The sequence below is a fragment of the Homo sapiens genome, chromosome 7 (assembly GCF_000001405.40).
Source record: "Homo sapiens chromosome 7, GRCh38.p14 Primary Assembly".
In the NCBI taxonomy this organism is placed as follows: domain Eukaryota; kingdom Metazoa; phylum Chordata; class Mammalia; order Primates; family Hominidae; genus Homo; species Homo sapiens.
The window spans coordinates 99,125,530-99,143,394 of record NC_000007.14 but is presented as its reverse complement, the minus strand read 5'-3'; the positions used below and the strand labels follow the sequence as shown (position 1 = coordinate 99,143,394).

Genomic DNA, 17,865 nt, shown 5'->3' with positions numbered 1-17,865 from the left:
CTTCTCTTTTCCTGGCCCCGCCCCTTGCATCTCCTTCCAGGCCCTTTCCCCTCACCTCTCCCCGGCTCGGCCCCTTGCCTCTCGCTTCCCTTCCTCTCCCTAGCACCTGACCCCTCGCTTCTCCCCCCAGGCCCCGCCCCCTTGCCTTTCACCTCCATCCCTGTGGTCCTTTCTCTTCCCCACCTTTCCTCCCCAAACCTGACCCCGCCCATCTCTCTGGCCCCACCCCCTCGCTCCTCTCTGCTCCCGCCTCCTAACTTTCTGTCCCCGCCCCCTCGCTTCTCCCTGCGTCCAGCTCCCTCGCTTCTCTCTGGTCCCGCCTCCTCACTTCTTTCCTAGCCTGGGCCCTCACTTCTTCCTGGTCCCGCCTCCTCACTTCTTTCCTAGCATCGGCCCTCACTTCTTCCTGGTCCCGCCCCCTTGCTTCTCTCCTTTTTTTCTCCTCCGCCGTTTTTACCCCCTCCCTCCTTCTCCTCGCTTCCCATCCTCTCCGCCCACCTGCCCCCTCGCTTTTCCCTCCTGGCCTTGCCTCTGTTCCCCTGGTCCCATCCCTCACTTCTCACCACTTTCCCATCATCTCTCTTGCTTTCCTGTTTTCCCTCCCACCTGCTCCCTCCCCTCATCCTCCTGGTCTTTCCCACCACTTCCAAGCTATTTTGCTACCTCCCCTTCCACTTGCCCCCTTGCTTCTCCCCTCCTGCCCCCACCCACCCTCTTCTCACTCCCCCATCCTCTTTCGTTTCTCCCTCACCCCCCCACACCGTCCTCCTCCCTTCTTCCCCTAGCCCCGCCCCTCACTTTCAAGCCCCGCCCTCATTCCTGCCTAGCCCCGCCCCCTCGCTGCTGTCTGGCGAGGCCTCCACCCTTTCTTTCCTTCAGCCTGAAATTCCTCAATCCTATCTTGTAGCTGCTCCCAGTCCTGCTCTCTTCACTTCCCCCTGGTCCAGCCCTCTTCAGTCTCAGTCTGGGCCACTTCCTGTCTCTTAGGCCAGACCGCTAGCTACTTTTAACTCTGCTTCTTCAATTTTTACCTTTTCTGCATTTTGTTTCACCATCACCCCCACACTCAGCAACCCAGAGCGCCGTGAGGCTCTGATCCCTACTCCCACACTCACTGGAGGCTTTGGAAGCTGCCCACACGCAGGCTCCTTGATTCATTTTGTCTTCAATGAAAAGTCCGTGTTTCCTGGGTGGCTCTGTAGTGCCACCTTCAAGGGTGAGCGCAACGCTCTGCCGCGGGCCTGCGACTTGGTGGCGCGGATGTGATGCCAACCTGTTTCCCCCCGGGCTCCAGAGGTTCTGGACCAGGCTGCATCCTCGTCTTCCCTTTCTCACTCTCATTGGTACTACTCTCTTTCCAGTTTCAATTCATCCCTAAAGCAGGATGGCCGTGTTGCAAATGCGGCTCTGCTCCGGGACTTTCCAAACTCGAATATTTCCAGCTCTGGAAGGAAACTAAAAAGTTCATTCTAATCCCCGTCAGGGATTTTCCCCTGGATTTTTCTGTTCAGTGGCTCAGTCGGGTGAGAACTCCAAAGTCCTGGTTTGGTCAGGTCCTTTCAAAGAGAGAATGAGCGTTTTGAACACTTTATGGCAGATGCGCAGCCATAAAGTCATCGGTAAAATCCATGCAAACAATAGGTAATTTTTTTAAACTAAAATTTACTTTGAGAGCCCATAGTTGTTGCATGGCCCAACTTTTGTCTTAAGAGAAGGTTTTGTTTTTTTGTATAAAGATATCAAATAATGATTTGGACCCAAACCCAGACCCTGGTTTTGTAACGTAGGAGGTAGTTTCCTCTGGGATCTTTGCTTCTGGGGAAATACATTTCTTTATGCCAGGGCTGATAGGAAACGCTTCTCACTTTGTAGATACAATGTAGATACATTTTTATTTATGTGGTAAGATAAAAGTAACATTTTTGAGATTGTAATACTTGTAAAGCTTTTAACTTGGTTCTGATTTACAGCTCAGTCTGTAATTGACATCAGATTGGTTTCAGTTATCTTGTTAAAAGCGAAAGCAACTGATTTTGTGTTAGAAATATGATGAATGTTTTAGAAGGAATAGGTTTTAATTGAAATGTTTATGTCTGGTGTATGTATATTAATCAATCCTATTTGCCAAGCCTGAGCCTTGAAAGGGAGGACTTGGTTTCTCCTCCTACCAAATTATTTTTGGATTTAGGAATTTAGATTATCGAAGCAAGAATGCTTTGAGGAATTTTTGGATGACATTTGATAGGGAAGGATCAGGTGATGAGTGTTGTTTCTGAAACACCTTTTCCCTTTCCCTTTCCCTTTCAGTAGATGTTATGAATGGTTTGAGAGGATTTGTGAGTGTGATCATCCTTACAATAGGATTGCGGTTTAGCGGTAATGGTACACATGCAATGCCAGTACGTGGAACCTTAGTTTACCTCGAAAGGTTTGAACTAGAAGTTTGTTGACGGTGGAATAGGTTTTAGTCTCATCTTTCTGGTTAAGGGAAGTTTGAATTCTCACTTCTGGGATGTTGAGAAGCAATCTTTCAAAATTTGAATACTTTTGTTACAGGTTTCAGAGTTTATTTCCATGTTTGTTATTTGGAAAAAAAAAAAAGACTGTTAAAAATGAGGGATATTTCAACCAGTCAATGAATAGACACAGAGCGAAATTCAGTGCAAAGATAGTGAAGATGGCCTGGCGCCGTGGCTCACGCCTGAATCCCAGCACTTTGGGAGGCTGAGGCAGATCACGAGGTCAGGAGGTTGAGACCATCCTGGCTAACACGGTGAAACCCCGTCTCTACTAGAAATACAAAAAATTAGCTGGGCGCGGTGGCTCACACCTGTAATCTCAGCACTTTGGGAGGCTGAGGTGGGGCGGATCACGAGGTCAGGAGATTGAGACCATCCTGACTAACACAGTGAAACCTCGTCTCTAGTAGAAATACAAAAAATTAGCTGGGTGTGGTGGCGGGCGCCTGTAGTCCCAGCTACTGGGTAGGCTGAGGCAGGAGAATGGCTTGAACCTGGGAGGTGGAGCTTGCAGTGAACCGAGATTGTGCCACTGCACTTCAGCCTGGGCAACAGAGTGAGACTCTGTCTCAAAAAAAAAAAAAAAAAAAAAAAGGATACTGAAGATACTACATTTAGAACTTTGGGGTCCACGATTCTATTTGGGGGTGAATAGGGCATTAGATTTACAGTTAGGAGACCTAGATTCTAGACAGATTTCTCATTAACTACATGTTACGGAACAAGTTATTTAACCTTTTTGGGTCTCAGTTTCTTTATATATCAAATGAGATTTCAGCTCCATTATAATACTCTTTGATCCTCCTTCTCACAGGATATATCAATTTAGCTACCTACTTATTTCAAATTACTGTTGGGCACTTGGGCTTAGTGGTATTCTTAATCCTGATATTCAGAAAATTGTGTTGGAGTGTAGCACATGTGTTTGATTTATGCCAAGCATTAATTTTGTGTATTGATTACATTTATGACTTTATTTCTTCATGTGGGATTGTTTTTGAAAACTGTTGGGTAATATGTTGAACTGCTTTGGCAACCTGGTCTAAACAGTAGAAGAATATTTGAGCCTTTGTATTTAAAATAATAACATTTTAACGAATGTTTTTGTGGTATTTTAGTAGGAAAATAGTTTTTAAATGGTTTCAGTAGGTTTAGGGGCATAATATATCCAGAATCAAGTGATCTTTTGTTAAAGAGCATTATCTTGTAGTCATTGGAGTTCACTGGCAAATCAAACACTTTAGAAACATTTTGATTGAAAAATCAAGCAGGATTTGCAAAAACTTTGTTCTTATCTGGTACACAAATGAATCCCAGACACATTGTTTAGGCCACTTTGGGTAAAAGAATGGAATTCAGGGTTCTACAATGCTCTTCAAGAAAATTAAATTTTATTGTAATGTCAACCAATTAGTTGAAATACAAGTGCCTAAACTTTTTTGTGCTTTTATGCATTGAAATACTCTCAGATATCCTGGTGTTTTTATATCTTTTGGAGCATGACTGCATATTGTGAAGTAAGAAAAACTCTAATTCCAAACAGAGAGGAACAAAGAGACTTTCCTTGATAGCATGTGGAAATATGAGGTTGTTTTTAAAATTGTAGCTTGTGGGATGTAAGGGTGACTTGTGTTTTGGCATTCAGATGGTGCAACTGTGAGTGAAATAGTTGTGGTAATAGCTGTTGATGATGTTGGTTGATGAATTACAGGTGTCTCAATTGATTCAAAATAGTTAAGTCTCTCAAGAAAGATTAAGAAAATTGTTAAGACTGTTGACTTTGTCAATTTGTACCAGCTAAGAACCTCACTTATGTGAGGCAGGCAAAACTTTTGTTTCAAAAACCATATAACACAGTTGCTGTGATAAGATGGAATAAGTGGTCAGTTTTTAGCTCCCTTTGCATTTACATTTTCCTTAGGGTCTGCCTCAAGTTTAGGAAGATACAGTTAAGGCAGTTCTTTGAGATGAATTATTGGAAGGTGTAGGATGGGTTAGAACAAATGCTGTTGCAAAACTTGAATTGCAATTATACTTTAAGAAGAATCACATTCTGCCAAATAGAGGTTTTTGTCATTGATTTTGTGATTTGATCACATTTGTGTTGCCTTTTAGAACAACTTTCTTTTTTCAAATCCATTTTTTTTTCCTTTTAATCTTCTTGGCCCACCCAACTGACTTTAGACATGAAATCTTTCATATGCTTTATTTCTATCTCCATTTTTACAGTAGTTGTGATTTATCAAACTAGGATTTTTAACTTCAAGTCCATCTGTCAGAGTTTAAAACCTCTAGTCTTGCAGTTACAAAAGTCCTTTCTGAATGTTGGGTTTTTCTTTCTCTTCCACACATTTTCATTTTCTCGGTTCAGTCACAATGTCAGGTTCTAGTGTGGAAAATTGGGTGAAAGAAAGGTTTTGGAGGCTGTGTTATTTATGAAATATTTCCTCATGGATTAAGAAAGAAAAAAAGACAAAACGACAAATAGTGTTTCAATATCACCTCAGTGATCCAGTTAACTAGACTGGCTGTTTTGTACAACATCGTGGGCACTGGTTAACAGTTAAAATAGCTGAATTGTGCGTTTTATTCAGTGGTTCAAAAAAGCCTCAAATGGATGAAATAACTTGATATCTTCGCCATGCTCTGATTTGCTGGGTAAGACAGCTAACTTTTAGGATGCTTATTTGGATCAATTTTTTATAATTTCAAAACCATTTTAGAGGCTAATTTTTTTTTAAACAAGGAATATACAATTTTTTTTTTTTGTCACTGAACAAGTTTTAAATTACTGGTTTGTTATTTTGTAAGTGAATTTGTAAGTGAAAGCCTCCAACTTAAATTAGCTTCTTGTCCAGGGAACTCATTCTGACTGACTAAAGTCCCTAAGGCCTTTCTAGTTAAAGGAAAGCCATGGAGCTATGTTTAAAAAACAAAAGCACATAGCTATGGGGCTTGGGCATATCTTCTTTTTAAAATGTCACTATTACTGTTTTGTCTCCAGATGCAATTTAATCCATTTAGATATTTAAACCAAGTGGAATGTTGTTTCCACATTTCTGGACTAATGGGGGAAAAAACACCCTCATATTGTTTTAAAACAAGGCTTAAATAATGTATAATCAGCGCGTCTGGTGACGCGCCCCACTCTGTAATTCCAGCTGTGTTCACCTCCACTGCAGCTGAAAGGAATTCTAATTGGCTGAGGAATGTCGGCAACATCGTTTATCACTGAGCAGGAACCTATCCTCCTGGCTGCTGGGTGATGCATTTCAGATGTTTTAAGCTCCGGAGCCCAACTTGCAGCTTGCTTTCAGGAGTCTGGAGGAGCATGTCACGAAGCTGCAGATTGTAGATGGCAGCCTGCGTTCTTTGTATGTTGGGCATCCGCTGAGTTCTCTAAAGGGCATGATGCTTTCCTGTGGTTCCAACACTGGACTGGGGATCAGAAGGTCTGAATTTGATTTCTAATTCACACAAGTACCACAATGAAGAAAGGGGAGGGGGTGCATAGGATTATGATCTTTTCATGATTCAGTTTTCCTATCTTTAATGCCAGAGATCTGTCTTTTTAGAGCACAAAAGGACCTGCTAGAGATGGATTAAATATTTTAATGAGTAGTTATGAATTATTTATAGAGTAGCACAGTATTAATACAGTCATAGATTCCTGTTATGTCTTATTCCTAAATAGCCAGGTAAATAATAAAGCTAATAACGTACTTTGACATTGAAGAAAATCTATAGAACCGGTTAATAAACATGGAAAAATAATACAATGAATTGATAAATTATGTATTCAGAAATTCCTTAGAGAAATAGTGTTAGAAGCCAAAACCAGTATTATCTTTATTTTTATTTTATGTTTTTCCCAGGCCAGGTAATGTGCCATCGGACAGTATCATGTTTATTTTTTGTTTTGTTTGGAGATGGGGTCTCACTCTGTTACCCAGACTGGGGTGCAGTGGCACCATAACAGCTCACTGCAGCCTCGACTTCTTGGGCTCCAGTGATCCTCCCACCTCAGCCTCCCGAGTAGCTGAGACCACAGGCATGTGCCACCACGGCTGGCTAATCATTGTAGTTTTGGTAGAGATGGGGTTTCGCCCTGTTGCCCGGCTGGTCTTGAATTCCTGAGCTCAAGCAATCCACCTGCCTCAGCCTCCCAAAGTACGTGGATTACAGGCATGAGCCACTGCACCTAGCCAGCATCATCTTTAAATGATGAAATTGTGGAAACATTCCCATTAAAATCAGGAACAATGCAGGGATGTACACTGTCAAAATAGTTATTATTAATAACTAGAGAAAGACATCAGAAAGCAGGAAACAAAATTGCTGTTATTTATAGACGTTATGATATATCTTTAAAAGCCCAAAAGATCAGCTGAAAAACACTTATAAACAATAAAAAACTTTAGCTGGATGGAAAATTTCTCCATGGCAAAAAATAGGATAAAATCAACATGCAAAGACAAACTAGGAACAACAATCTGTAATGGATACGAAAATGAAAGTCTGGTTTTCCTAATATATAAAGAGCCTTCAAAATCAATTAGGAAAAGGCCAGTACCTAATAGGCAAAGAATATGGACAATTCACAGAAAAGAAAATGGAAATGGATTTGAAACATGTGAAAAGACAACCCTATTTTCTCTCTTCTTCTTTCCTTTTCTTCTTTAGAGATGGGGTCTTGCTCTGTCGCCCAGGCTAGGCTAGAGTACACTGGCGTGATCATAGCTCACTGCAGCCTGGAACTCCTGGGCTCAAGCGATCATCAGCTTCCTGAGTAGCTGGGACTGCAAGTATATGCCGCTGTGCCCTGTTCTCTCTTATGCCCATTTTCTTTCTCTAAAAATTTATTTTTAATTGATAATCAGCCCTATTCATACTAAACAAACTACAAATTAAAAGTAAGAATGAAACAATTTTTCATCTAGAAGAGTGGCAGATCAAAGAGATTGAAAATCTTCTGTGATGAGACAAGAGTGTGGAAAAACAGGTCTTTTACTCTAGTGGTTGAGAATATAAATTGATAGAGTAGGTACCAAGAGCAGTTTGGCACTGTCTATCAGATCATAAATGTTTATGCTCTTTGATCTAGCAATTCTGCATGTAGGACTTTTTTCTTATGGGTGTTTTCACACATTTATGTAAAGTCCGGTGTGTAAAATCATTGCAGCATTGTTTGAAATTATAAAAGACTGAAATCAATGTGAATGTGTATCAGCAGGGACTAGTTAAGTAAATTATCGTGTATTCCCAATGATGTGTAGCTGTAACATAATAAGATAGTGTTTTATATTCTGATATGGAACATTCTCCAAGATATATTATTGAGTGGGGGGAAAAAGCATGATTCAAAACAGAGGCTAGTGTGTGTACTATTTGAATAATAAAACAAGAAATAAAAATAAAGGGGGAAATCTATAGATAGGTCTGTATAGAATACGACTGAAAGATTTTGACTGTTGATTTCCTTTGAAGAGATTCTCCTGTTCTCCTCTTCAGAGGAAAGAGAGAGGAGAGAGGGAGAGAGGAGAGAAAAGAGAGAAGAGAGGGTGACTTTTCATTATATGCCTTTTGTAATATTTAATCTCCTCCCTTTTCTCACCCCCTTGAGCATGTATTGCTTTTCAACAATTAAAAAGATTAAAAAGCTCTTAAATAGATAAGAATTTCTTAGAGCAACTAGTAAGTACACTAACTGCCAATTGTTTTGAAATGTAGACATTCTGAAAAATCAAAATGATTGTGCCGAATGTATTTTAAAAGGCTAAAATATTATAGCATTTCAAAGTACATACTCATATTTATAAGGACTTCCTCACTAGGAAGATTCCTGGGTTCTACAGAATAAAATTCTTGGCTACTTGTCTTATAGCTCTGAACAGACTTATTTTCCCAGAGAGTATGTTTATTATGTAATAGCGAGTTGCCTGACCCCCCAAAAAGCTTGTTCTATCATATTAAAATAAGGCAAAATGATTACTTTCAGATTAAGAAATTTGGACTCTAGATCTTGTTTATATAGTGAGTTCTTTAAAAAACTGAGGTCTTGGTTCTGAATAATAGTGGTTTACATAATTTATTTAGAATGTCATTTGGGGTTATCTCTGACCTATTTTTATAAAATAATCTCATCTTTAAAATAGGAGTAAAATGCTCATTTGCATAAGCCAGTAATAATAATTTAGTATTTTTCCAAGTATTTATAGTCAATGTGTTTGCCATGAACTTTTTTAAGGGATTGTTTTTAATTTTAGAAGTGCTTTAAAAAGCAATATTGGCATCTGGCTCTGTAGAAGTAGAAAACATGGTAACTTCAATGTGATATATTTGCTTTTTTCCCCTCTTAGGTCTTTGGGGTAAAAAAAATCCAAAGTTTACTCAATTTTATTTCTACATATATTACCTACAAATTATAGAGGTGAGACCTGCTTGCTGCCTGTTCATACCTGTCAGTGATACTAATACCTCCCGTCTGTACAGTGTTTCATAGTTTCCAAAGGGTTCTCGCGTGGTTCCTCACTTGAGCCTGGTGAGGAAATACCTGTAAACATGGGTAGAAGTTTTAGTCCCTTGTAAAACTCTGGTATAATATCAAAACCAGGAAATTGTTCACAGATTCTAAGGATTGGGGAAAAGAGAAAAATAAACAAATTGCTCAGGAGTAGAATTTGCAAAAAAAAACGAAACAAAACCAAAAAACTCTGGAAATAAGGCACGTTTAGCCTTACAGAGCGAGACCCTGTCTCAAAAAAAAAAAAAAAAAAAAGTGGGTGGAGAAGCACTTTTCCTGATCTAGATCAAGAAATAGAATATTGCTGGTGCTTGGAATGTCCCTACAATCCTGAAAATAGCTCATTCTCACTTTCTACCTCCCTCAGCCGCACCCCCCTGGCAAAGATAACCACAGTCCTGACTTGTAACAGCCTGTTTTTGAACTTTGTATTAATGGAATCTTACTGCATGCAACTGGTTTCTTTTGTTCAATGTTATTTTTGTGAGATTTATCCGTATTGTTATGTGTGGTTGTACGTCAGTCATTCTCTTTGCTGTTCAATATCCCATTATGGGCATATACCATAATTTATCCCTTTATCTGTTGATGGGCAGAGTCCTTTCTAGTTTTGGCTTTTAAGACTAGTGCTGTTTGGAATTTTCAGGTATATGTCTTTTGGTGAGTATTTGCATACACTTCTGTTGGGTGTATACTCAGGAGTAGAGTCACTGGACTGTGGAATAGGCATATGTTCAACTGTAATGAAACTTGCCAAATGCTTTTCCGAAGTGGTTATACCAATTTACATTTTCCACCAGTGGCGTATGAGAGTTCCAGGTGCTCCTTTGCCAATCTGCGTGTTTTCTTTTTCATTTTAACCCTTTCCTTGAGTGTGGATTGGTGTCACATATTGTGGTTCTACTTTCTTTTTTCTCTAATCTATACCTTAAATGGCAGCCTTAGAGACCTTTTTTTTTTCTTTTTTAATTTTGAAGTAATGATAGATTCACAGGAGATGGGAGAGAAATGTACCGGGAGGTCCTGTGTACCCTTCACTCAGCCTCCCCCAATTTTAGTGTTTTGTATAACTGTGGCATGTCAAAACCAGGAACTTGTTCATGGGTTCTAACGATAGGGAAAAAGTAAGGGCAAAATAATGCAAGCAAAAAGACCCGGGAAACTAACTGTTTACATTGGTGCAATCCAGAGCTTAGTCAGATTTCACTAGCTCCGCGTGCACTGCGTGTGGGTGGGGTGTGTGTGTGTGTAGCAGTCTATGCAGTTTGATCCCATGTACAAATTCATATCACCACCATTGCAATCAAGATGACCAGCTGCACCACCACCCCAGCCTCCTTGGAGCTATCCCTTTCTAGCCGCATCCACCCATCCCCAGTCCCTGGGACCCTGGCAACCACTAAACTGTCACCCCCAAATCTTTTAAGAGCATAAATCAGATCATGTCATTTCCTTCCTTAAAGCCCTCCAGCAGCTCCCTACTCAGAATAAAATCAAACTCCCTCTGTGATCCTGCCATATTCCTCTCTGGCAGCCTCTGTGCCAGGTTCTGCCTTATTCTCCACCCCAGTCCTCAAATGTGGCGAGTTTAATCCTGCTTAAGGGCTTTTGCATGAATTATTCCTCTGTGTGTGTGTGTGTGTGTGTGTGTGTCCGTGTGTCTGTGTGATGTTATAATACTCTTCCTCTTGACTTCTCAATGGCTTCTTCCTGTCATTCAGGCCTTCAGCCTAAATAAATATCATCACCTCAGGGATACCCTCCCTGACCATCCCTTCATAGTCCCTCCCTCACTCACGATCAGGCAGCCTATTCTGCTGTCTTCATAGCACTCACCACTTCATGGTATTTTTGTTTGGTTATTCTCCCATCATCCATCTACCAATGTCCAATCAATTTTTATTTTCTGTCTCTGCTCTTGGTAGTCAAGTTCCGTGAAGCTAGGGTCCTTGCTGTCTGTTTACTTCTGTATCCCCTTCAACACTGCTTGGCACCTGCTGGTGCTCACAAATACCTGGTGAATGAGAGAATTAATGCCCTCCTTGTTTATTGGGTCTCCTGGTCGCCTCTGAGTTGGGCGTCGGAGGACACCTCTCCTGGAGGCAGCATTGCGTTCATAGCCACTTCTTGTTGATATGAGCAGGGATTAGAGATCAAGCAATTACAGGTTGTTGTCAGCCAGGCTTGGGGTTTCTTTGACTATGTGATACCCTAAAAGGCAAGTCTACTCTATCTTGGGCTTCTGGGCCATTCCAGGGGCTTGAACCAAAGCCCGAAATTTTAATTCTGGAATTTGGCCCAGCTTTGTAGCTTTTGGTTTCCAGGTCTTTTCCTTAGCCTCTCCCTCAGGGCTGGCGGGGATAACTGGTTGGGCTGGAGAGACATCATTCATTTGCCCCTTGCCCAAGCTTTGCGGTTGCATCTTGAATAACGTTTCCCATTTTCAGGCTGTGAATACTGGACCTGAGTGCTTGGGAGAGACCTGGGGAAGCCTTCTTTTGCTCACCCTACCCCACAGCCTTATCTCCTGCTAAGTCTTCCCTCCCTTTCTTTCTTCATCCTATCTCTTGGTTCCCCTAGATTGCATTTTGTAGCAGAAAGGGCCTCTTTTCCTCCCTCTTCACTGCATTTTCTTTGAGACAGGATCTTGTTCTGTCGCCCAGGCTGGAGTACAATGGCACAGTCATAGCCCACTGCAGCCTCAAACTCCTGGGCTCAAGTCATCCCCACCTCAGCATGAGCCACCATGCCCAGCTAATTTTTAAACTTTTTGTAGAGACAGGGTCTCACTATATTGCCCAGGCTTGTCCAGAACTCCTGGCTTCAAGCGATCCTCCCATCTTGGTCTCCCAAAGTACTAGGATTACAGGCAAGAACCACCCACCTACCCATTTCCTTGATTCTTTCCTACCAAGTCCCTTAGTGTTCCTTGTAGTCTTGGTGGTTGCATCAGACCACAGTCTGATTGTTTCTTTCCCTGATAATAAAGATAGTTAAATTCTCAGGCCGGGTGAGGAGGGTATTCATTGATTTTTCACCCTGCCTCCTTTCTTCAGCTAATTTCCACATTTTTAATTCTGTCTTTTATGTACAATATCGCACTTCCTAATGTTGTTGTTGTTTAAAAGCAGGATACCTTCAGATGTAAGTAGCAGAAAACCTAGGTTAAATTAGCTCAATAGAGAGAATTTTAGTGACTTCACTGAAAAGCCCAAGTCATTCCAATGGCAAAGCAAGGACCTGGTTTCTCTCTATATCTCAGTGTTTTGACCTCAGCACTATTCATGACCATCTCTTCCCCTTGTGCTCAAAAGCTCCATGGCTGTTTGCTTGCAGCTTTAAATCCAGCAGAAAAGTTAAAAGTCTGCTTCTTCAACAGCTCAGTCCTGGGGTAGAAGGCCTGGAGTTGAATCCTCTTGTCTCATTGGCCTAATTTGGGTCAAGTGTTCATTGCTGAACCAACCGCTGTGGCTGGGATGATGGGATGTGCTCGTTGGACAATTAGGTTCCATCTTTGAATCTAATCAGGGGGTTAGTCCCACCCACAATACAGACTTGGGTTGTTTGGGGGAACAGGAATATGGATGCCAGGTGGGCAATCAATAAATAACTAGATGATACCGATTGTTTTCTTTTAAAATTTATAATGTTAGCTTCATTATGCTGAGTAAAAGGAAGGTACAGCTACCATTTAATGCACTTCTGAAAAAGAAGTATACCTTCTTTGTGGTAGTATGAAGCAAAAGATTTGGTAAAAGTGCCAAGAATTTTTGACCAAGGGTTAGGAGTGGTACCTTTATATGTGAACTTAGCCCCATAAATTTTGTTGTCAATTTGTATTGCAGAATGTTCCTGGATTGTTGTATAATGTTATTTGGGACTTTTTGTTTTTCTTTTTGGAGACGGAGTTTCACTTTTGTCACCCAGGCTGGAGTGCAGTGGTGTGATCTTAGCTCACTGCAATCTCTGCCTTCTGGGTTCAAGTGATTCTCCTGCCTCAGCCTCCCAAGTAGCTGGAACTACAGGCATGTGCCACTGCGCCTGGCTAATTTTTTGTATTTTTAGTAGAGATAGGTTTCACCATGTTGGCCAGGCTGGCCTTGAACTCTTGACCTCAGCTGATTGGCCCGCCTCAGCCTCCCAAAGTGCTGGGATTACAGGTGTGAGCCACTATGCCCAGCCTATTTGGGAGTATTTTTAAACAAAATTCAGGTACAGATTATAGGAATACATTCTTAAATTATTTCTCTAGAGATAACAGAGCAGTTTTAAGAGAGAGAAATACATGCTGATTATCTGTAAATTGAATTCAGGATGTGTAGAAAGAAAAATAATTTAGTTTTTATGCAATAATATGATTTTTATAGGATAGTTGATTATCAGCCCTACCCTATAATAAATTCTTTGAATTAATGTCTGTTCTTGATATCTGGGGCTCTGTATTTTCACTTCTATATTCTTAAAAAGAAAAAAAGTTTTTGTAAGATGCTTCGCTGAAGTTCGAACCTGTGTTCCAGGAATGGTTGAATCCCACAGACCGCCAAGCTCTTCCGTTTGTGGAATCAGCAAGGTGGAATGATGAAGGGCTCGGCTGGAGCCAGCCTGTGCCTTTACACAAATGACATCATTTCTTAGTTTCCTTAGCTATAAAAATGGGGGAAGGCTGGGTACAGTGGCTCACACCCGTAATCCCAATATTTGGGGAGGTTGAGGTGGAAGGATCACTTGAGCCCAGGAGTTTGAGACCAGCTGGGGCAACACAGCAAGACCCTATCTATACAAAAATAGAAAAAAATTAGCTGGGCATAGTGGTGCACACCTGTAGTCCCAGCTACTTGGGAGCTGAGGTGGGAGAATTGTTTGAGCTCAAGAGGTTGAGGCTACAATGAGCTGTGATTGTGCCACTGCACTCTAGCCTGGGTGACAGGGTGAGACCATCTTAAAATAATAACATAACGTAAAAATGGGGAAATAACTGGAATCACTTCAGTGTTGTTGTGGGTAGTAAATGAAATAATCCACATGCACTGTCTGGTACATAATGTGTTCAATATGTGTTAGCTAATAGTAACATGGTCTTATTTCAATGAATCTAAGATGACCGCTTGCAAGTCATACCATTGTTTTATGTACTACGTAAAAAGAAACACAGGTAATTATATTGCAAAATGTGATTCATTTGAAGATTTCAAAACATATGAAAAAATGTGTCTTGAAATCAATGATATATGGTTTTAGGGCTGCCTCTGACTTGGAAGTCCTGGGAATTGTTTGCATACTCATAAATATACACCATCTGTCTTGGTTTAAACATAATAGAGTATGATCTAAAGTTTCTTTTCAATTTTGTTTTTGTTCTAAACTTAACATTGAATTTGGCCTCGTGTTGCAACACTAGAAATTTAATAATCACTCATTTATTCTGTAGGCTTAAATAATGGATTATATAACACCTAAGATTGGCTTGGCAACTTCGGTTATTTACTTTTCTTCAGTGATTTAGAAAAAATATGAGACATGTTTTTGGACATCGTTGCTATTGCTTGAATAAACCTGTTTGGGAGGTAAAGGCAGGTTAAATGGTAGTGCCGGTAACCTCTTAGAGTAGCACGAACTATTGGCAGAAAGCCTGCTTAGGTAAACACCTTTGATACACCCAGCACATTCAGTTTAGAAAGTACAATATTGATATTTGAAAGCAATGCGTGGTAGTTGATTTTCCACTAAAATTTAAATGTGGACAGGGTATTATAGAGCTTGAATGATAGTCACAGGCTATTTAAGGACCAACTTGTAGAGTAAAAAGTTGCTATGTAATACGCTTAGCATAAATTTAGAAGTAAAACCTGCAAGGATAGCATATAGCCTTGTGAGAATGCCATTTCCCTTAGGAGCCTGGTATTTAGAATGTTATGAATGGGATATTTATTATAAGCCTGTTTTTTTTGTAAAGGCTTGCTTTTTGATATTAATATTGAAATGAATTACGGAAGCCGTTTTGGGGACTTGACCTGTTTACTGACTGCGTCATTCATGGCTTAACCTCATCAGCCAAATGTCAGCAGGATTCTGCTTTTAAGACAACCACATGAGAACAGATGAGCCATTCGGTCATCTTGTCATAAGCCCCAGAGGCTATCTCCTGGCACATCTGGCATGTGATGTATTTAAGTATTATTTGAGGGTGTTGAGTATAATTTTGTAAAAGACTGTACCCTGGTACATTCCATATCTTAATGCATTCTGAAACAGCGATATTATTTTTTTTTGGAAACCCCAGAGGGTTTATTTACTGTATTTTGCATAGGGTTCATCTGAACAGTACAAAAAGTACCTTTTTATTTTAGAAAAGGAGTTTTGGTTTAGAAAATGGAACCTGAATTGAAATAAAAGTAAAATTATTCTCAAAAGGAGACAGTTTATCGATTTAAGTACATTTCGTATCGCCTATGTAGTAGCGTTGTTTATATTTAGAATAGACGCAAGCCAGTCCACGATCTCTCAGCAAGACTTGACAAAAGGATATGATTTTGTCACAGTTACTCCCAGTGTTTCATTTCAAGCAGTATGAGTCAAGGATTTGGTGTTTCTCATACTAGAATAAATTGGACTTTATTCAGGAAAAAAACCCAACTTGTTAATTTGAAGTGCATGTCTCAAAGCCTAAACATTATTTTAGTTAGTATTTCTAAGTAGATAATACATACATATGGTATAAAAGGGTGATTGTGAAAAATATGCCTCCTTTCCCCTCTGTCCCTTGTTAACCAGCTTGCCTCCAGAGAAAGAGCTGTTCTTTTTTTTAATTTTATTTTAAATTTTTTTTAGAGATGGGGTCTTGCTATGTTGACCAGGCTGGTTTTGAACTCCTGGCCTCAAGTGATCCTCCCATCTCGGCCTTCCAAACTGCTAGGATTACAGCCGTGAGCCACCAGGCCCGGCCGAGCTTTTCTTACCATGGTATTCTTGTGTTCTTCCAGAGATTTTTTTAAAATGCCTCTTCCTTTTCTCACTCCCTCCCTCTTTTTCTTTTAACACAGATGGGAGCATTGTGTGTGCATTGTTGTATACTTGCTTTTTGCACATACGGATCAGGGATTTCTCTGTTTCCTTACCTCCTGATCTGCCTGCGTGGCAGGAACATTCACTATGCAATGACTATCCCTGTGCTCGTCAACGTTCCCGTGTGACCTTGCAGTTAGGTGGGACCATGTAACTACTTCTGGCTAGCAAACTGTGAGAAGTGAGTTGTCCCACTTCGGGGCTGAAGCACTAGGAACCTCCAGCTCTGCCACAGAAGCTGTGTGTCATGTGGTGGAGCCTCTATCAGCCTAGATCCCTGAGTGATTACGTGAAGCCGAAGCTGGCCCTTCCCCCCGGCCCCTGCTCAGACCCAACCTATGCTGAACACGTAGTTGAGCAAGAAATAAACTTCTGTTATGTTAATTTGTTTCTACATCACACAGCTCCTCTTGATATAGCTGATTTCTTTTTAATAGCTGTGAAATTCATAACACTTTGAATGAACCCAGTTCAGATGATCAAATGCTTAAGAACAAAAAAGCATCTAATTAAAGAATAATAACTTTAAATATACAAATATCAGATCAATGCATCTTATCCCAATGTGTTGCCACGCAAATATCTGTATACATAATTTCTAATTAAACTTTTTAATTTTTTTAAATTTATTTTTCTGAGATGGCGTCTCGCTCTGTCGCCCAGGCTGGAGTGCAATGGCGCAATCTCAGCTCACTGCAACCTCCATCTCCTGGGTTCAAGCAATTCTCCTGCCTCAACCTCCGAGTAGCTGGGACTACAGGCACATGCCACCACGCCCGGCTGATCTTTACATTTTTAATAGAGACAGGGTTTCACCATGTTGGCCAGGCTGGTCTCGAACATCTGACCTCGTGATCCGCCTGCCTCAGCCAACCAAAGTGCTGGGATTACAGGCGTGAACCACTGCACCCAGCCCAGCCCATAATTAAAAAAAAAAAAAAAGGAATATATGCTTATTGAAAAGTATAAAGAAGAAATAAGTACTTTATTATTTGAAATGAGGCTTGATTCTTTAATATTAAGGCTTATAATTTTTGCATTAGAATTTGATATTAATTTTCTCGTCATTCTAAAGGAAGATAAATACCAACGCCATACATGCTCGCTGTTCTCATTGAATACTACAGTCAATAGAGAGGAGTATTGAAAAAGACTGTCTCTACCAGAAACTTAACAGCCATAGGGAAATGGTACATTCGCTAGAAACAGTTAAGTAACAATACAAAGCGCCCCTGAGTCTAGTTGCTGGGGAGGCCAAATGTGAACTGGCTCTAGAAAGATCTGGGTGGGCTGAGAGACCATGTGGTAATAGCATAAGCGAAGACAGAGTGGACATGAGTCTGGCTGCTTTGCAGGTCAGACGGACAGAAGAGGTGCCAGGCAGGTAGAGGGAAGAGAGGACACTTGGCTTCTGTAGAAGTCGTGAGTTGTCGGGGAGATTGGATCAGGAAATGAGATGATAAATTGTAATTTTATAGGCCTGCTGGGTAGAAAGTAGGGACTTTTCCTTTCATGCCCTGAGGATAGCATGGGATCCAGGGACTGGAGTAGCATGGTAACTAAGGGCCAGGTGCTGGAGGCAAGTGGCCTGGGTTCCAGTCCTGGCTTTGCCACCTTCTAGCCGTGGAAAGTGCCAGCAGGGTGCACGGGTAAGTGTATAGGTAATGTGAGCTGTGATGATGACTGCTGTTGTGCTACTTGGGAAGGAACCTGGTGACACAGAGCGACACCTAATGAGGGAATAGATTAGGCCCCATTCAC

At 40.9% G+C, this 17,865-nt stretch overlaps 1 protein-coding gene across 6 annotated transcripts in view, besides 1 other annotated feature; it reads left to right on the top strand.

Moving 5' to 3' along the window:
- Positions 1 to 17,865, top strand: part of SMURF1 (SMAD specific E3 ubiquitin protein ligase 1) — a 116,669-nt gene that overhangs the window by 714 nt on the left and 98,090 nt on the right. The gene's annotated exons all lie outside the window — the stretch shown is intronic.
- Positions 56 to 105: a silencer, noted in NCBI's record as "silent region_18400". NCBI's record gives its function as "represses an Ori minimal core promoter by ATAC-STARR-seq in GM12878 lymphoblastoid cells {active_cell/tissue: GM12878}" and the evidence as "EXISTENCE:reporter gene assay evidence [ECO:0000049][PMID:35858748]".